Source organism: Homo sapiens, chromosome 5 (genome assembly GCF_000001405.40).
Source record: "Homo sapiens chromosome 5, GRCh38.p14 Primary Assembly".
Taxonomy (NCBI): Eukaryota; Metazoa; Chordata; class Mammalia; order Primates; family Hominidae; genus Homo; species Homo sapiens.
The window spans coordinates 40688683-40705231 of NC_000005.10; the positions used below are offsets into that span (position 1 = coordinate 40688683).

General features: G+C 38.6%; 1 protein-coding gene across 5 annotated transcripts in view; it reads left to right on the forward strand.

The window, feature by feature from the left end:
• The window catches only part of PTGER4 (prostaglandin E receptor 4), a 66886-nt gene that overhangs the window by 8768 nt on the left and 41569 nt on the right, over positions 1-16549 (forward strand). For 3 of the 5 annotated variants that reach the window (XM_047417413.1, XM_047417414.1, NM_000958.3), the window contains one exon: positions 3097-5053. In XM_047417413.1, coding sequence (XP_047273369.1) covers positions 3097-3190 — 94 coding nt within the window. In that variant the 3' untranslated portion in view covers positions 3191-5053. Of the gene's footprint in view, positions 1-3096; positions 5054-7969; positions 8585-16549 lie in introns of those variants that run through there. The other 2 variants (XM_017009659.3, XM_047417415.1) reach the window with 2 other exon arrangements.

Here is a 16549-nt window from a genome sequence, read left to right on the forward strand (position 1 = left end):
TGAGTTTCCAGGCATAGCTGAAGACCTCAAAGCTTATGGAAGGAAGAAACCAAGATGCTTTATTTTACTTTCTGTAAAGATTTTTTTTTAAATCAAGTATGCTTTGCCTTGATACTATCATTTATCCCAGCGTAGTTTCTAAAAGTATTTCAAGAGGCGATATTACACACTGCTGTTCATTCTAGTTCATTCTTGATTTAGCTGTCTTCCATATAGGAAGATATTAATTTCATCTTGGTTAGAGGCATGTCACTATTTTATTCTCTGAGATTTACAGGCCCATAATCCCATATCCAAAATATTTACGGGCAGATGAGTTTCAGAATTCAGAATTTCTTGGCTTTTAGAAAAGTAATCAATAATATATTGCAAAATATGTAATATCCCCATCAGAACTGGAACAGTAATCCTGGACCAGAACATAGGAATATTCACTCTAAGTGGAATAAATTGAACTAAATGGCTTCACAGTCTGTTCAGTTCAGTTTTGCTGCCAAAATAAGTTTAGGTCAGATTTTGCAATGAGTGTAAGTTCTCAAAACAAAACAAGTGAATAACAACAAAACAATAACAAAGGAAATGAACAAAAATCTTTTGAGAGAGGATCAGAGACCTATAGCTAATTAAGATCTAAATTCCAGTTAAGGAAGAAAAAGAAATGCAGTTCTACCTTACTGATCCAGTATCATCCAGGAGTAAGTTTAATATAAGCTTGATTTTGCAGATTAATGAAATGTATTTCTTCGAATATTTTAAAGATTCAAAGAATCTTTAAAGGAAGAAAAAAATAATTCTTCCTTCTTTTACCCAAATTTTACCCAAATTGTTGAAAATCTTTCTATAATATCCTGACCCAAATATTGTTACATCTAGTAAGTGCCAAAGGAACACATGCAAATGGTCAATGAATCGCCTTTTCCGTTGTGAACTGACTCAGCCTCAACTAAACTGTCCCTGTTCCAGGTGATTCATACACCATGAGTCATTCATTGTTACGCTGTATATAGTAAGGCAGCAACATCCTCAAGTCTTGTTAGAGATATTTGCCCCTAGTTAAATGGCTCCAGCTATGCTTTTGTTAGTTCTTTCTCCTTTTTGTGGTTTTTATGTATCTTCCTTGACTGTGAGACTCAACCTCTTCTCCCTAACCTAAAATAATTACTAAAGGCAAGAAATAATTACTAAATAATTACTTAAGATATATGGCAATTATTTTTATTTCTATACTACTATTTCTATTTCTATTTCTATGTGAATTACCACTACTACTATTTCTATATTAATTACAGATGAGATTTTTATATAAATGATCCCAGTGGAATTAGAAGTAATATCTAGGCAAAAAAAAATCATAATACTTTAAGAGTAAATTTGAGGCTGAACATGGTGGCTCACTCCTGTAATTTTAGCACTTTGGGAGACTGCAGCGGGCAGATCACTTGAGCTCAAGAGTTAGAGACCAGCCTGGGCAACATAGAAAGACCTCATCTCTACAAAAATAATAACAGTTAGCCAGGCATGATGGCACACACCTGTAGTCCCAGCTACTCAGGAGGCTACAGCAGGAGGATTGCTGGAGCCTAGGGGGTCAAGGCTGCAGTGAGCAATGATTACACCACTGCACTCCAGCCTGGGCGACAGAGTGAGACCCTGTCTCAAAAATATATATACATGTACATTTAACAAATGCATTTTCCCCTAAGGATTAAAATGATCATGTAAGTTTACACAAATTCATGCTCCATTCGCTGAATCATTTGAAGTTCCCAGATGTTGACATATCATTTCATTCTTCCATGACTTTGCACATGGAGCTACCTCTATTTGAAATGTGATGTCTTTCCTTCTAAATTTAGCAAATTCTCATTCATCCGTTGTGATTACTATAACTGGGGAACAGAGTCATAGAGAAAATAAAAACTATTCTCTGGTCATTCTGGGTAACAGGAGATCCTGCTGTTGGTGTAAAACTTTTCAGCATATTCTTTCTAGACTAGAATAAAAGAATCTTGGCCTTATTCTGGTGATTAGATGGTTAATTGACTTATAAAATGAGTTTCCTTTAAATTATGTAAAATGACAGCTGGAATAAGAAATCAGTAGCTTTTGGGGGAAAAAAGTTACTTCATTAGAATTACAAAAACTTAAAAGCACTCACAGAAATGAAGTTAATAAAGTGCTTCTCAAGAACACTTTATACATATGTGACCTGCACTCACATTGCATTTTTGTATACTGTCTTTGCTCTAGGGAAGATAATCATAAGATAGTTACAAAAATATTAAAGCTATACGAACTCAGAACATGTAATTGCATTTTTGCAGTGACTGGTTTTTATTTTTTTATTTTTTATTTTTAAACAGATTCTTGCTCTGTTGCCCTGGCTGGAGTGCAGTGGCATCATCTCAGCTCACTGCAACCTCCACCCGCCGCATTCAAGCCATTCTCCTGCCTCACCCTCCTGAGTAGCTGGGATTATAGGCGTGTGCCGCCACACCTGGCTAATTTTTGTTTTTTTGAGACGGAGTCTCGCTCTGTCGCCAGGCTGGAGTGCAGTGGTGGGATCTCAGCTCACTGCAACCTCCGCCTCCCAGGTTCAAATGATTCTCCTGCCTCAGCCTCCCGAGTAGCTGGGACTACAGGCGCATGCCACCACACCCAGCTAATTTTTGTATTTTTAGTAGAGATGGGGTTTCACCATGTTGGCCAGGAGGTTCTCAATCTCTTGACCTAGTGATCCGCCTACCTCGGCCTACCAAAATGCTGGGATTACAGGCGTGAGCCACCGCACCCAGCCTAATGTTTGTATTTTTAGTAGAGATGGGGTTTCGCCATGTTGGACAAGTTGGTCTCGGACTCCTGACCTCAAGTGATCCTCCCACCTCGGCCTCCCAAAGTGCTGGGATTACAGGCGTGAGCCACCGTGCCCAGCCCATGACTGGTTTTTCTGAGGCTTATTATGTAGCTTCCTCTTTTCCTGGAACTTGTTACCAGAAATGAAGGCAGCTTCCTAATATTGATAAGGTAGACATAGCATTTATATGTTTTCCCAATTGATTAATGATGAAATCTAAATGTGCGATCTCACTTATGCAGGTGCGAGTATTCGTCAACCAGTTATATCAGCCAAGTTTGGAGCGAGAAGTCAGTAAAAATCCAGATTTGCAGGCCATCCGAATTGCTTCTGTGAACCCCATCCTAGACCCCTGGATATATATCCTCCTGAGAAAGACAGTGCTCAGTAAAGCAATAGAGAAGATCAAATGCCTCTTCTGCCGCATTGGCGGGTCCCGCAGGGAGCGCTCCGGACAGCACTGCTCAGACAGTCAAAGGACATCTTCTGCCATGTCAGGCCACTCTCGCTCCTTCATCTCCCGGGAGCTGAAGGAGATCAGCAGTACATCTCAGACCCTCCTGCCAGACCTCTCACTGCCAGACCTCAGTGAAAATGGCCTTGGAGGCAGGAATTTGCTTCCAGGTGTGCCTGGCATGGGCCTGGCCCAGGAAGACACCACCTCACTGAGGACTTTGCGAATATCAGAGACCTCAGACTCTTCACAGGGTCAGGACTCAGAGAGTGTCTTACTGGTGGATGAGGCTGGTGGGAGCGGCAGGGCTGGGCCTGCCCCTAAGGGGAGCTCCCTGCAAGTCACATTTCCCAGTGAAACACTGAACTTATCAGAAAAATGTATATAATAGGCAAGGAAAGAAATACAGTACTGTTTCTGGACCCTTATAAAATCCTGTGCAATAGACACATACATGTCACATTTAGCTGTGCTCAGAAGGGCTATCATCATCCTACAACTCACATTAGAGAACATCCTGGCTTTTGAGCACTTTTCAAACAATCAAGTTGACTCACGTGGGTCCTGAGGCCTGCAGCACGTCGGATGCTACCCCACTATGACAGAGGATTGTGGTCACAACTTGATGGCTGCGAAGACCTACCCTCCGTTTTTCTACTAGATAGGAGGATGGTAGAAGTTTGGCTGCTGTCATAACATCCAGAGCTTTGTCGTATTTGGCACACAGCAGAGGCCCAGATATTAGAAAGGCTCTATTCCAATAAACTATGAGGACTGCCTTATGGATGATTTAAGTGTCTCACTAAAGCATGAAATGTGAATTTTTATTGTTGTACATACGATTTAAGGTATTTAAAGTATTTTCTTCTCTGTGAGAAGGTTTATTGTTAATACAAGGTATAATAAAATTATCGCAACCCCTCTCCTTCCAGTATAACCAGCTGAAGTTGCAGATGTTAGATATTTTTCATAAACAAGTTCGAGTCAAAGTTGAAAATTCATAGTAAGATTGATATCTATAAAATAGATATAAATTTTTAAGAGAAAGAATTTAGTATTATCAAAGGGATAAAGAAAAAAATACTATTTAAGATGTGAAAATTACAGTCCAAAATACTGTTCTTTCCAGGCTATGTATAAAATACATAGTGAAAATTGTTTAGTGATATTACATTTATTTATCCAGAAAACTGTGATTTCAGGAGAACCTAACATGCTGGTGAATATTTTCAACTTTTTCCCTCACTAATTGGTACTTTTAAAAACATAACATAAATTTTTTGAAGTCTTTAATAAATAACCCATAATTGAAGTGTATAATATAAAAAATTTTAAAAATCTAAGCAGCTTATTGTTTCTCTGAAAGTGTGTGTAGTTTTACTTTCCTAAGGAATTACCAAGAATATCCTTTAAAATTTAAAAGGATGGCAAGTTGCATCAGAAAGCTTTATTTTGAGATGTAAAAAGATTCCCAAACGTGGTTACATTAGCCATTCATGTATGTCAGAAGTGCAGAATTGGGGCACTTAATGGTCACCTTGTAACAGTTTTGTGTAACTCCCAGTGATGCTGTACACATATTTGAAGGGTCTTTCTCAAAGAAATATTAAGCATGTTTTGTTGCTCAGTGTTTTTGTGAATTGCTTGGTTGTAATTAAATTCTGAGCCTGATATTGATATGGTTTTAAGAAGCAGTTGTACCAAGTGAAATTATTTTGGAGATTATAATAAATATATACATTCAATCTGAGTTGCATATCCTCAGTTTGGGAAAACTTGTGGGGGCTTTTTTGTTGTTTCAGGTCATCATCTATATCCTTTTATATATTTTTTTAAAATTTATTGTGAAATAATTTTAAAGAAATATTGCAAGAAAAGTACAAACTCTTGTATACACTTAGTAGAGAATGACACTTTACTCAAAGCCTCCAGTTTGTATGGGTGATGGAGGAGACAGTATTATGCTTAGCTTGTGACATATAAAGGACTCAAATAATTATTACTAAAATGAGCATATTTTAAATTTTGCAGTTTTTTTAACTGCCATTTTTATTTTTATTTTTTTATTTTTTATTTTTGAGACAGAGTCTTGCTCTGTCACCCAGACTAGAGTGCATTGGCACAATCTCAGCTCACTGCAACCTCCACCTCCCAGGTTCAAGCAATTCTCATGCCTCAGCCTCTTGACTAGCTGAGATTACAGGCGTGTACCACCATGCCCAGCTAAATTTTGTGTTTTTAGGAGAGACATGTCATGCCATGTTGGCCATGGTTGGTCTCAAACTCCTGGCTTCAAGCAGCCTGCCCACCTCAGCCTCCCAAAATGCTAGGATTGCAGGCATGAGCCACCATGCCCGGCCATTTTTACATTTTTAAATGCAAATTTTGTTCATTTTTTGAGTGAGTTATATATCTGCATTAGTCAGCTAAGGCTGCCATAAAATACCACAGATGGGTGGCTTAAACAACAGACATTTATTTTCTCACAGTTGTGGAGGCTGGCAGTCCAAGACCAAGGTGTCAGCAGGGTTGGTTTCTCTTGAGCCCCCTCTCCTTGACTTGCAGATGGCTCCCTTCTTTCTGTGTCCTCAGATAGCCTTTTCTCCAGGTGAGCACATCCCTGATGTCTCTCTCTCCTTATAAGGACACTAGTCATACTGGATTAGGGCCCCACCCTTATGACTTCATTTAACCTTAATTACTCTCTTAAAGGCCTTCTCTCCAAATATAGTCACAATGAGGGTTAGGGCTTCAACAAATGAATTTTGGGGGCAAGTGTCCTTTTCATTGTTGAGCCTGATTTATTCTTAAAATAGCAACCAAGAAAAATGAATTCCAGCATTGCTCAGTCATCTATTCCATATTTATTTGTAAAACTTAACAGCTATGCAATGCAAAGATTATTTTTTGTTTCTTGCTATAGGACACTTGTTCCAGACCATTTAGAGAACTTCAAATTTTCTACACAGGAAAGTTCTGATTGTCTAATTGGCTACTATTAAATCCTACCATCTCAAAAGGATATAACAGACAAGAAGGTAATTTTAACACCATATTGTAATCTTTGAGACAATCTAACCGATTAGATCAAGTGTGTTAGAAAAGATAGATTTGCAGGACTATTAAAATGGTACTTTAGGCCAGGTACAGTGGCTCACACCTGTAATCTCAACACTTTGGGAGGCCAAGGCAGTGGATCACTTGAGGTCAAGAGTTCGAGACCAGGATGGCCAACATGGTGAAACTCTGTCTCTATTAAAAATACAAAAATTGGCCAGGCGTGGTGGCTTACACCTGTAATCCCAGCACTTTGGGAGGCTGAGGAGGGCAGATCACGAGGTCAGGAGTTTAAGACCAGCCTGGCCAACGTAATGAAACCTCATCTCCACTAAAAATATAAAAATTAGACAGGCATGGTGGCGGGTGCCTGTAGTCCAGCTACTTGGGAGGCTGAGTGAGGCAGGAGAATCGTTTAAACCCGGGAGGCGGGGGTTGCAGTGAGCCGAGATCGTGCGACTGAACTCTAGCCTGGGCGACACAGCGAGACTGTCTCAAAAAAAATAAAAAATAAATACAAACATTAACTAGGCATGGTGCCGTGTGCCCAGCTACTCAGGAGGCTGAGGCAGGAGAATCACTTGAACCCAGGAGGCGGAGGTTGCAGTGAGCCAAGATCGGCCACTGAACTCCAGCCTGGGCGACAGAGGGAGACTCCGTCGGAAAAAAGAAAAAAATGGTACTTTGTGCGGTCATAAAAAAGAATGAATTCATGTCCATATCCTTTGAACCAATAGAATGAAGGTAAAGACCACTGTCCTAAGTGAACTAACTCAGAAACAGAAAACCAAATACTGCATGTTCTCACTTATAAATGAGAGCTATACAATGGGTACACATGGTCATAAAGATGGAACTGATGCTGGGGACTCCAAAAGTGGGGAGGTGGGGGAGAGCAAGGGTTGAAAAATAACCTACTGGGTACTATGTTCACTATTTGGGTACTGGGTACACTAGAAACCCAATCCCCACCAGTATGCAATATACCCATGTAACAAACACACGTACTCCCCGAATCTAAAATAAAATGATGAAATAAAAAATAAAATGGTACTTTGACCAAGGGACCACAGAATTCAAGAGTTCTTTCCCAAATCATAGCTAGTCCTCTCCACAAGTTTTCTCCTAGGGGCATGAATACAAAAGGGACATGGAAAAATCAAGGCACAGTAATATTTACTGTTAGCTATCCATATGGCCTCAAATGTTAATGCAGAAAAATTTCCATTACACAAACATTCAGTTTTCCTAAAGTACTTGTACTAGTCTCAGAACAAACCATGTTTGGTTTCTTCCAATACTGCCCCCACCTCATGCCCTTCTCCCGTTACATCCAAGCCTGAATCTAAGATGCTGCAATTATGATCTCAAGATTGTCATCCAGACACATGAGAAATAGAACCCAAAAAAACAAGACGCTTACAACAAGAGAGAGCATTTGGTCCCATTGCTTACTGTGGGGTTTCTCTGGGCTACAGCTGGTGCTTTAGCCCCAAACTGGAAGTACCTTGGCAGAAAGGAAGAGAGAAAGATAGCTGGGTCTTTGGTCCTTCTATCAACATCTCTACCATTCAATCATTTATCCATTCCCTTTACCTTGCCAGGCCATCAACCCCATTTCCCACCATGGAAGAGAAGGACAGAAGAGAACACCAGTCACTTTTCCTAAGAACGTTTAACCACAGCAACTCTACACACTAAAATCTGAACAATTAGGTAAGTATTTCTCTTTCTTGAGAAGGGGTGAAACAGGATTTAATACAAAGGAGGAGCAAAAAGAATTCCAAGAACAATGAACAAGAACTCAAGGCAACAGCTCTGCAATAGGGCAAGAGCACAGTGAAACCATACTGAGGCAGGAGGGAAGTCTCTGTGATGTCCCCATGGTAAGAAAGAAGGAAAGAGAGAAAGAGAGAAAGAAAGAGAGAGAGAGAAAGAGAGAAAGAGAAAGGGAAAGAAAGAGAGAAAGAAAGAGAAAACAAAGAAGGAAAGAAAGGAAGGAAGGAAAGAAAGAAAAGAAAGAAAGGAAGGAAGGAAGGAAAGAAAGAGAAAAGAAAGAAAGGAAAGAAAAAAGAAAGAAAGGAAGGAAGGAAGGAAAGAAAGAGAAAGAAAGAAAAGAAAGAAAGGAAGAAAAATTAAGAAAGAAAGAAAAGAAAGAAAGAAAGAAAAAGAAAGAAGAAAAGAAAGAAAGAAAGAAAGAAAGAAAGAAAGAAAGAAAGAAAGAAAGAAAGAAAGAAAGAAAGAAAGAAAAAGAAAGGCCAGGCACAGTGGCTCACGCCTGTAATCCCAGCACTTTGGAAGGCCGAGGCAGGCGGATCACCTGAGGTCAGGAGTTCAAAACCAGCCTAACCAACATGGAGAAACCCTGTCTCTACTAAAAATGCAAAATTAGCCAGGCGTGGTGGCGCATGCCTGTAATCCCAGCTACTCGGGAGGCTGAGGCAAGAGAATTGCTTGAACCCCGGAGGCGGAGGTTGCGGTGAGCTGAGATCATGCCATTGCACTCTAGCCTGGGCAGCGAGCGAAATTCCATCTCAAAAAAAAAACAAAAAAACAAAGAAAAAAGAAAAAGAAGGAAAAGTAATAGATTATTTGATGTTTGGCAAAATCAAAGGGAGTGTTATAGTTCTATTAGAAAAATTAGTAAAAATATACATAGGAAACTAATGAATTTAAAAAAGGCAATTATTGACTCCATGAAAAACAAAGAGAGGTGGAAAAAAGGCAAAATAAACATAATATACAAGGTGAACTAAATTATGTGTAATAAGTATACTCATATCAAATAATGAATATACAGTCAGGTACAGCGGCTCACACCTGTAATCCTAAAGCTTTGGGAGGCTGAGACAGGATTGCTTGCACAAACTCCTTTTGTGCAGCCATAAAAAAGAATGAAATCATGTCCTCTGCAGTAGCACAAATGGAACTAGAGACCATTGTCCTAAGTGAACTAACTCAGAAACAGAAAACCAAATACCACATGGTCTCACTTGCAGAGTTCAAGACCTGTCTGGGCAACACAGTGAGAGACCCTGTCTCTACAAAAAAAAAAAAAAAAAAAAAAAAAAACCATGAAAAATTAGCCAGGCATGGGGGCATGTGCTTGTAGTCCTAGCTACTCGGGAGACTGAGGCAGGCAGATCTCCTGAGCCATGAATTTGAGGTTACAGTGAGCTAAGATGGTGCCACTGGACACCAGCCTGGGCAACAAACCAAGACCCTGTCTCTAAAATTTAATAATAATCATCATCATCATCATAAACATAGATTGAAACCTAAATTATAATTATACTGAGAATGAAGAAAGAAGTAGTAAATATATTGGGGAAATACAAGAGACCTAAGTTATAGTTATACTCATCAGTATACCAGTACTTAATGTCCTAAATTTTTAAAAATGAAGAAATAGCAGTGAAACCACAATAATATACCCTTATACTCCAAACATGTTTGCAAAATATGTAAAGTATGAAAATACCAAGTATGCTTCAAAAAATATACTGTTCTTGGGAATACAAAATTGATACAACCACTTTGAAAAGTGAACTAAAGTTCAGGATGTATATGCCATCAATGAAAACAGTAACTGCCGAGATTGAAACACATCAATTATATCTCAATGCATTACTTTATGATACGACAAAACAAAACACCTCATTGGTCACCTTTGGAGGAGTCTAGGGAGACAACTAATTATTTTGAAAAGTGGTAAGAAGACAAAGAACAAAGCGTTTATTATATAAACGGCCTTTACTCTGTAGTTTTTCCAGCATAAGAAAATAGTTGATGAGGGAAAGTTTTTCTTTAAAGTTTTCTCGTACCAAAAGAGTAACAGAATTATCACGTTTGTAGCCACTAATGAAATAATGGATCTAGACAATCATAGTCAATGGCTTCTGACATTACAAAGAGAAATAAATAGCAAGAAATATTTAACTTCTAGTAATGTACCCATGGCCACCCATGATGTATTCTTGCCGAAAAATTGAATGAATCTGATCAAGCCTCTAGATCTAAGTCCAATTAAGAGGAAATATAGGAACAGAAAAAACAGTAATGACATCAGGTACAATGCCATAGGCAAAATATAAAATGTGGAAAATTCTAAAGGACAAATGAGCCAGTTCCTTTAAAGATAAGTTGGAAAAAAAAAAAAGAGGAATGGGAAGTCACAGATTATAAAGGATGAAAAGACATAGCAATAGATTCAATTAATGGACTTTTTTGGATCCTGATTTAATCAAACCACACTATCAAATGTGATATAATTCATAATATTTACACAATAGCTATTTTTAAAACTGAATTAGTAATTAAAAACTACCCCGCAAAAAAACTGTAGGCCTAAGTGATTTTATTTGTGAGCTCTTTTAAACATTATAGAAAGACATGACACCAAATCTATAGAAACTATATTGAAAAGAGTAAGTGAAAATACTTCTCAACATTTTTTATGAGGGCAACATATCATGACTTGAAAACCAAAGATATTACAAGAAAAGGAAACTATAGGCCAATATCCCTCATGAACACAGACACAAAAATCCTTCATAAAATGTTAACAAATGGAATCAAGCAATATCTAAAATGGATAATCATCATGAGTAAGTAGGGTTTATCCCAGAAATGCAGTTGATTTAGTATCTGAAAAATAAATGTAACTTACCATACAAACAGAATAAAAGAGAAATATTATCTCATAGATGCAGGAACTACAATTAACAAAATTCAACACCCATTCATAATAAACAGGTGTTCAGACTAGTAAGGGAACTTTCTCAATTTAATTAAAAAAAAGTATAAAAATCTACATCAATCTTCACACTTCATGGTGAAAGACTAAAAAGCTGTATATAAAGAATGTTTATTCTCACAGTTTGTGTGTACTGAAAGTTTAGCAAGTGCAATAAGGCAAGAGAAAGATATAAAAGACATACAGTTTGGAAAGGAAGAAAGAAAACTCTCTTTATTCATAAAGACATGTTAGGTATGTAGAACATTCCAAGGAATCTATAATATAGCTAATGTAGCTAACAAATGAATTCATCAAGGCTACAAGGTCAATATATACAAATCAATTGTATTTCTATGTAATAGTTATCAAAATTGGAAGATGAAAATTTTAAAAGACTCCTTATAATTGCATCAAAAATGTGAAATATTTAGGGATAAACTTAAAACATGGGTAAGACTGAGTCATTGAAAACTAAAAAGCAGGTCCACAAGGCCTGGGCCTCCAGCCACCCCCGACCCAGAGCTGTCAAGCCAGTACTAACTCAGCAACTCCCTGGACAGAGCCTCCAGCGGCAGCTGAAAGCCTCTCTGCCACTGCCTCTGCAGTGAAACTGCCCTTGCCACCCTTGGACTAACGAAGGAGCAAAGACCCTAAGTTCCTTATCCACAACTCCAACAAGTGCAGTCGACCCAAGGAGAGGAGGCCAGTCCATCTCCCATGGGTTGCACACACTCCCCATGGCTCGTCACCAGACAGGGAACCCCTGGCTTGGGCTGACTGCACTGAGTGATTCCTGACCTGCATTTCTCTGGGGTGGAGCCCTCAGGAGTCAAGCAAATGACCTTTGGCCACAACCACTAATAAGATATCTTCCTCTGCTGACTCTATGATGGGGAAGGAACATAAACACTGAGATTGCCCCAGAGCTGCAGTAGGCAGCTCAGGAGTGCCAAGTTGTGAATTACAGCCAGCACTCAAGGGGTAGAGGAACCCACACCTTCAGAGCACTGAAAGGGAACATGGCTGCAACTATGAGGAACCATAGGGGAGCCACACAACTGAGCAAGAATCTACCAACTGACCAATAAGCCTAAGTGTCACCTGCTGGATCACACCCCAAAACTTCAACACCAAAAATACCTCACTAACATACCCTGACTCTGAAACCAGAGACAAGAAGTCACTTTCAAATAAAGACCCTACATAAAGCCTCAGCCCAGTGAAAACATCCAGAAAAGAAGCCTATTGACTGTACTCAATCTACACTGCAGTTAAAGAAACATCCACGTGCAGAGATGAGAAAGAACCAATGCAAGAACTCCAGTAACTCCAATGGTCAGAGTGTCCTCCAAACGACTGCACCAGTTCTCCAACAAGAGTTCTTAACCAGGCTTAACTGGCTGGAATGATAGAAATAGAATTCAGAATATGGATAGGAACAAAGATCATCAAGATTCAGTAAGATGGCAAAACCAAATCCAAGGAAAATAAGAATCACAATAAAGTGATACAGGAGCTGAAGGATGAAATAGCTGGTATCAAAACGAACCTAACAGGTCTGACAGAGCTGAATAACACAATACAAGAATTTCACAATGTAATCACAAGTATTAACAGCAGAATAAACCAAACTGAGGAAAGAATCTCAGAACTTGAAGACTGGTTCTCTGAAATAAGACAATCAGACAAAAATAAAGAAAAAAGAATACAAAAGAATGAACAAAACCTCTGAGAAGTAGGGGATTATGCAAAGGGGCCAAATCTATGAATCACTGGCATTCCTGACAGAAAGGGGGAGAAAGCAAACAAATTAGAAAATATATTTCAGGATATCATCTACCAAATTTCTCAATCTTGCTAGGGAGGCCAGCAGTCAAATTCAGGAAATACAGAGAATTCCTATAAAATTCTGCACAAGAAGATCATCCCCAAGACACATAATCATCAGATTTTCCAAGGTTGAAATGAAAGAAAGAATGTTAAAGGCAGACAGAGAGACAGTGCAGGTCACCTACAAAGGGATCCCCATCAGGCTAACAGCAGACCTGTCAACTGAAAGCCTACAAGCCAGAAGAGATTGGGGGCCTATGTTCAACATCATAAAGAAAAAAATCTTCAACCAAGAATTTCATATTCAGCCAAACTAAGCTTCCCAAGTGAAGGAGAAATAAGATCCTTTTCAGATAAGCAAATGTTGAGGGACTTCATTTCCACCAGATCTGCTTACAAGAGATCATGAAAAGGAACACTAAATATAGAAAGGAAAGACCTCTAGCAGCTGGTACAAAAACACAAACACAGAGACCAGTGTCACTATAAAGCAACCACACAAACAAGCCAATATAATAACCAGCTCACAGCACAATGACAGGATCAAATCCACACATGTCAATACTAACCTTGAATGTAAACAGGCCAAATGTCCAACTTAAAAGGCACAGTGGCAAGCTGGATAAAAAAGCAAGACCCAATGGTATGCTGTCTTCAAGAGACCCATCTCACACATAATGACACTCACAGGCTCAAAATAAGGGATGGAGAAAAAGCTACCAAGCAAATGGAAAACAGAAAAAAGCAAGGGTTGCAATCCTAATTTCAGACAAAACAGATTTCAAACCAAAAAAGACAAAGAAGGCATTACCTTAATGGTAAAGGGTTCAATTCAACAAGAAGACCTAACTGTCCTAAATATATATGCACCCAAGACAGGAGCACCCAGATTCATAAAGCAAGTTCTTAGAGACCTACAAAGAGACATAGATTCCAGACAATAATAGTGAGAGACTTCAACACACCACTGATAGTATTAGACAGATCATCAAGGCAGAAAATTAACAAAGATATTCCAGACCTAAATTCAGCACTGGACCAAATGGATCTGATAGACCTTTACAGAAGTCTCCACCCAAAAACAACAGAATATACATTCTTCTCATCGCCACATGGCACATACTCTAAAATTGACCACATAATTGGACATAAAAACAATCCTCAACATATCTAAAAGAACCAAAGTCATACCAAACACACTCTTGGAGTGCAGGGCAATAAAAATTGAAGTCAACACAATGAAAATTGCTCAAAACCATAAAATTACATGGAAATTAAACAACATGGTCCTGAATGACTTTTGAGTAAATAATAAAATTAAGGCAGAAATCAAGAAGCTCTTTGAAAATAATGAGAACAAAGATACAACATACCAGAATCTCTGGAACACAGCTAAGGCAGTGTTAAGGGAAATTCATAGCACTAAATGTCCAAATCAAAAAGTTACAAAGATCTCAAATTAACGACCTAACTTCACAACTGAAAGAAATAGAGAAGCAGAACAAATCAACTGCAAAGCTAGCAGAAGAAATAACAAAAATCAGAGCTGAAAATCAAGAATTCAAAAACATTCAAAAGATCAACAAATCCAGGGGTTGGTTTTTTGCAAAAAAAAAAAATTAATAAAACAGGCCAATCTACACTAATTAAGAGAGAAGATCCAAATAAACACAATTAGAAATGATGAAGAGAATGTTACTACTGAGCTGACAGAAATAAAAACAACCATCAGAAACTACTATGAACACCACTACGCACACAAACTAGAAAATATGGAAGAGATGGATAAATTCCTGGACACATACACCTTCCCAAGACTGAGCCAAGAAGAAATCAATTCCCTGAACAGACCAATAACAAGCTCTGAAATTGAATCAGTAATAAATAGCCTGCCAATCAAAAAAAGCCCAGGACCTGATGGAGTCATAGCCGAATTCTACCAGATATACAAAGAAGAGCTGGTACCATCCCTACAGGAACTATTCTAAAAAATTTAGGAGGAAGAGGCCGGGCACGGTGTGGCTCACGCCTGTAATCCCAGCACTTTGGGAGGCCGAGGTGGACAGATCACAAGGTCAAGAGATCAAGACCATTCTGGCCAACATGGTGAAACCCCATCTCTGTTAAAAGTATAAAAATTAGCTGGGCATGGTGGCAGATGCCTGTAGTCTCAGCTACTCAGGGGGCTGAGGCAGGAGAATTGCTTGAACCCGGGAAGCGGAGGTTGCAGTGAGCTGAGATCACACCATTGCACTCCAGCCCGGGCAACAGAGCAAGACGCCGTCTCAAAAAAAAAAAAAAAAAAAAAAAAAAAAAAAAAAAAAAAAAAAAAATTTAGGAGGAAGGACTTCTCCCCAACTCATTCTATGAGGCCATCATCAGCTTAATACCAAAACCTGGCAGAGACACAACAAAAAAAGAAAACTTCAGGCCAATCAATATCCTTGATGAACATTAATGCAAATATTCTCAACAAAATACCTACAAACCAAATCCAGCAGCAAATCAAAAAGCTAATCCACTATGATCAAGTAGGCTTCACCCTCAGGATGCAAGGTTGGTTCAACATATGAAAATCAATAAACGTGATTCATCACATACAGAACTAAAGACAAAAACCACATGATTATCTCAATAAATGTAGAAAGACTTTTGATAAAATTCAACATCCCTTCATGTTAAAAACTCTCAATAAACTAGGTATTGAAGGAACAAAGCTCAAAATAGTAAGAGCCATCTATGACAAACCCACAGACAACATTAGACCAAATGGGCAAAAGCTGGAAGCATTCCCCTCGAAAACTGGCTCAAGACAAGGATGCCCTCTCTCACCACTTTTATTCAACATAGTATTGGAAGTCCAGGCCAGAGCAATCAGGCAATAAAAAGAAATAAAGGGCATCCAAATAGGAAGAGAGGAAATCAAACTATCTCTGTTTGCAGATTCTATACCTAGAAAACCCCATAGTCTCAGACCAAACACTCCTTCAACTGATAAACAACTTCAGCAAAGTTGCAGGATACAAAATCATTATACAAAAATCACTAGTATTCCTATACACCAACAACAACCAAACTGAGAGCCAAATCAGAAAAGCAATCCCATTCACAATAGCTGCAAAAATAAAATATCCAGGAATACAGCTAACCAGGGATGTGAATGGTCTCTACAATGAGAATTACAAAACACTGCTCAAAGAAATCAGAGAAGACACAAGCAAATAGAAAAACATCTCATGCTCATGGATAGGAAGAATCAATATCATTAAAATGGCTATACTACCCAAAGCAATTTACAGATTCAATGCTATTCCTATCAAACTACCAATGGCATTCTTCACATAACTAGAAAAAAATTTTTTTTAATTTATATGGAACCAAAAAAGAGCCCAAATAGCCAAGGCAATCCTAAGCAAAAAGAACAAAGCTGGAGGAATCACATTACTCGACTTCAAACCATACTATGAGGCTACGGTGACCAAAACAACATGGTGCTGGTACAAAAACAGGCACATAGAACAATGGAACAAAGTAGACAGCCCAGAAATAAGGCCACACATCTATGAGCACCTGATCTTTGACAAAGCTGAAAAAAAGAAGCAATGGGGAAAAGACT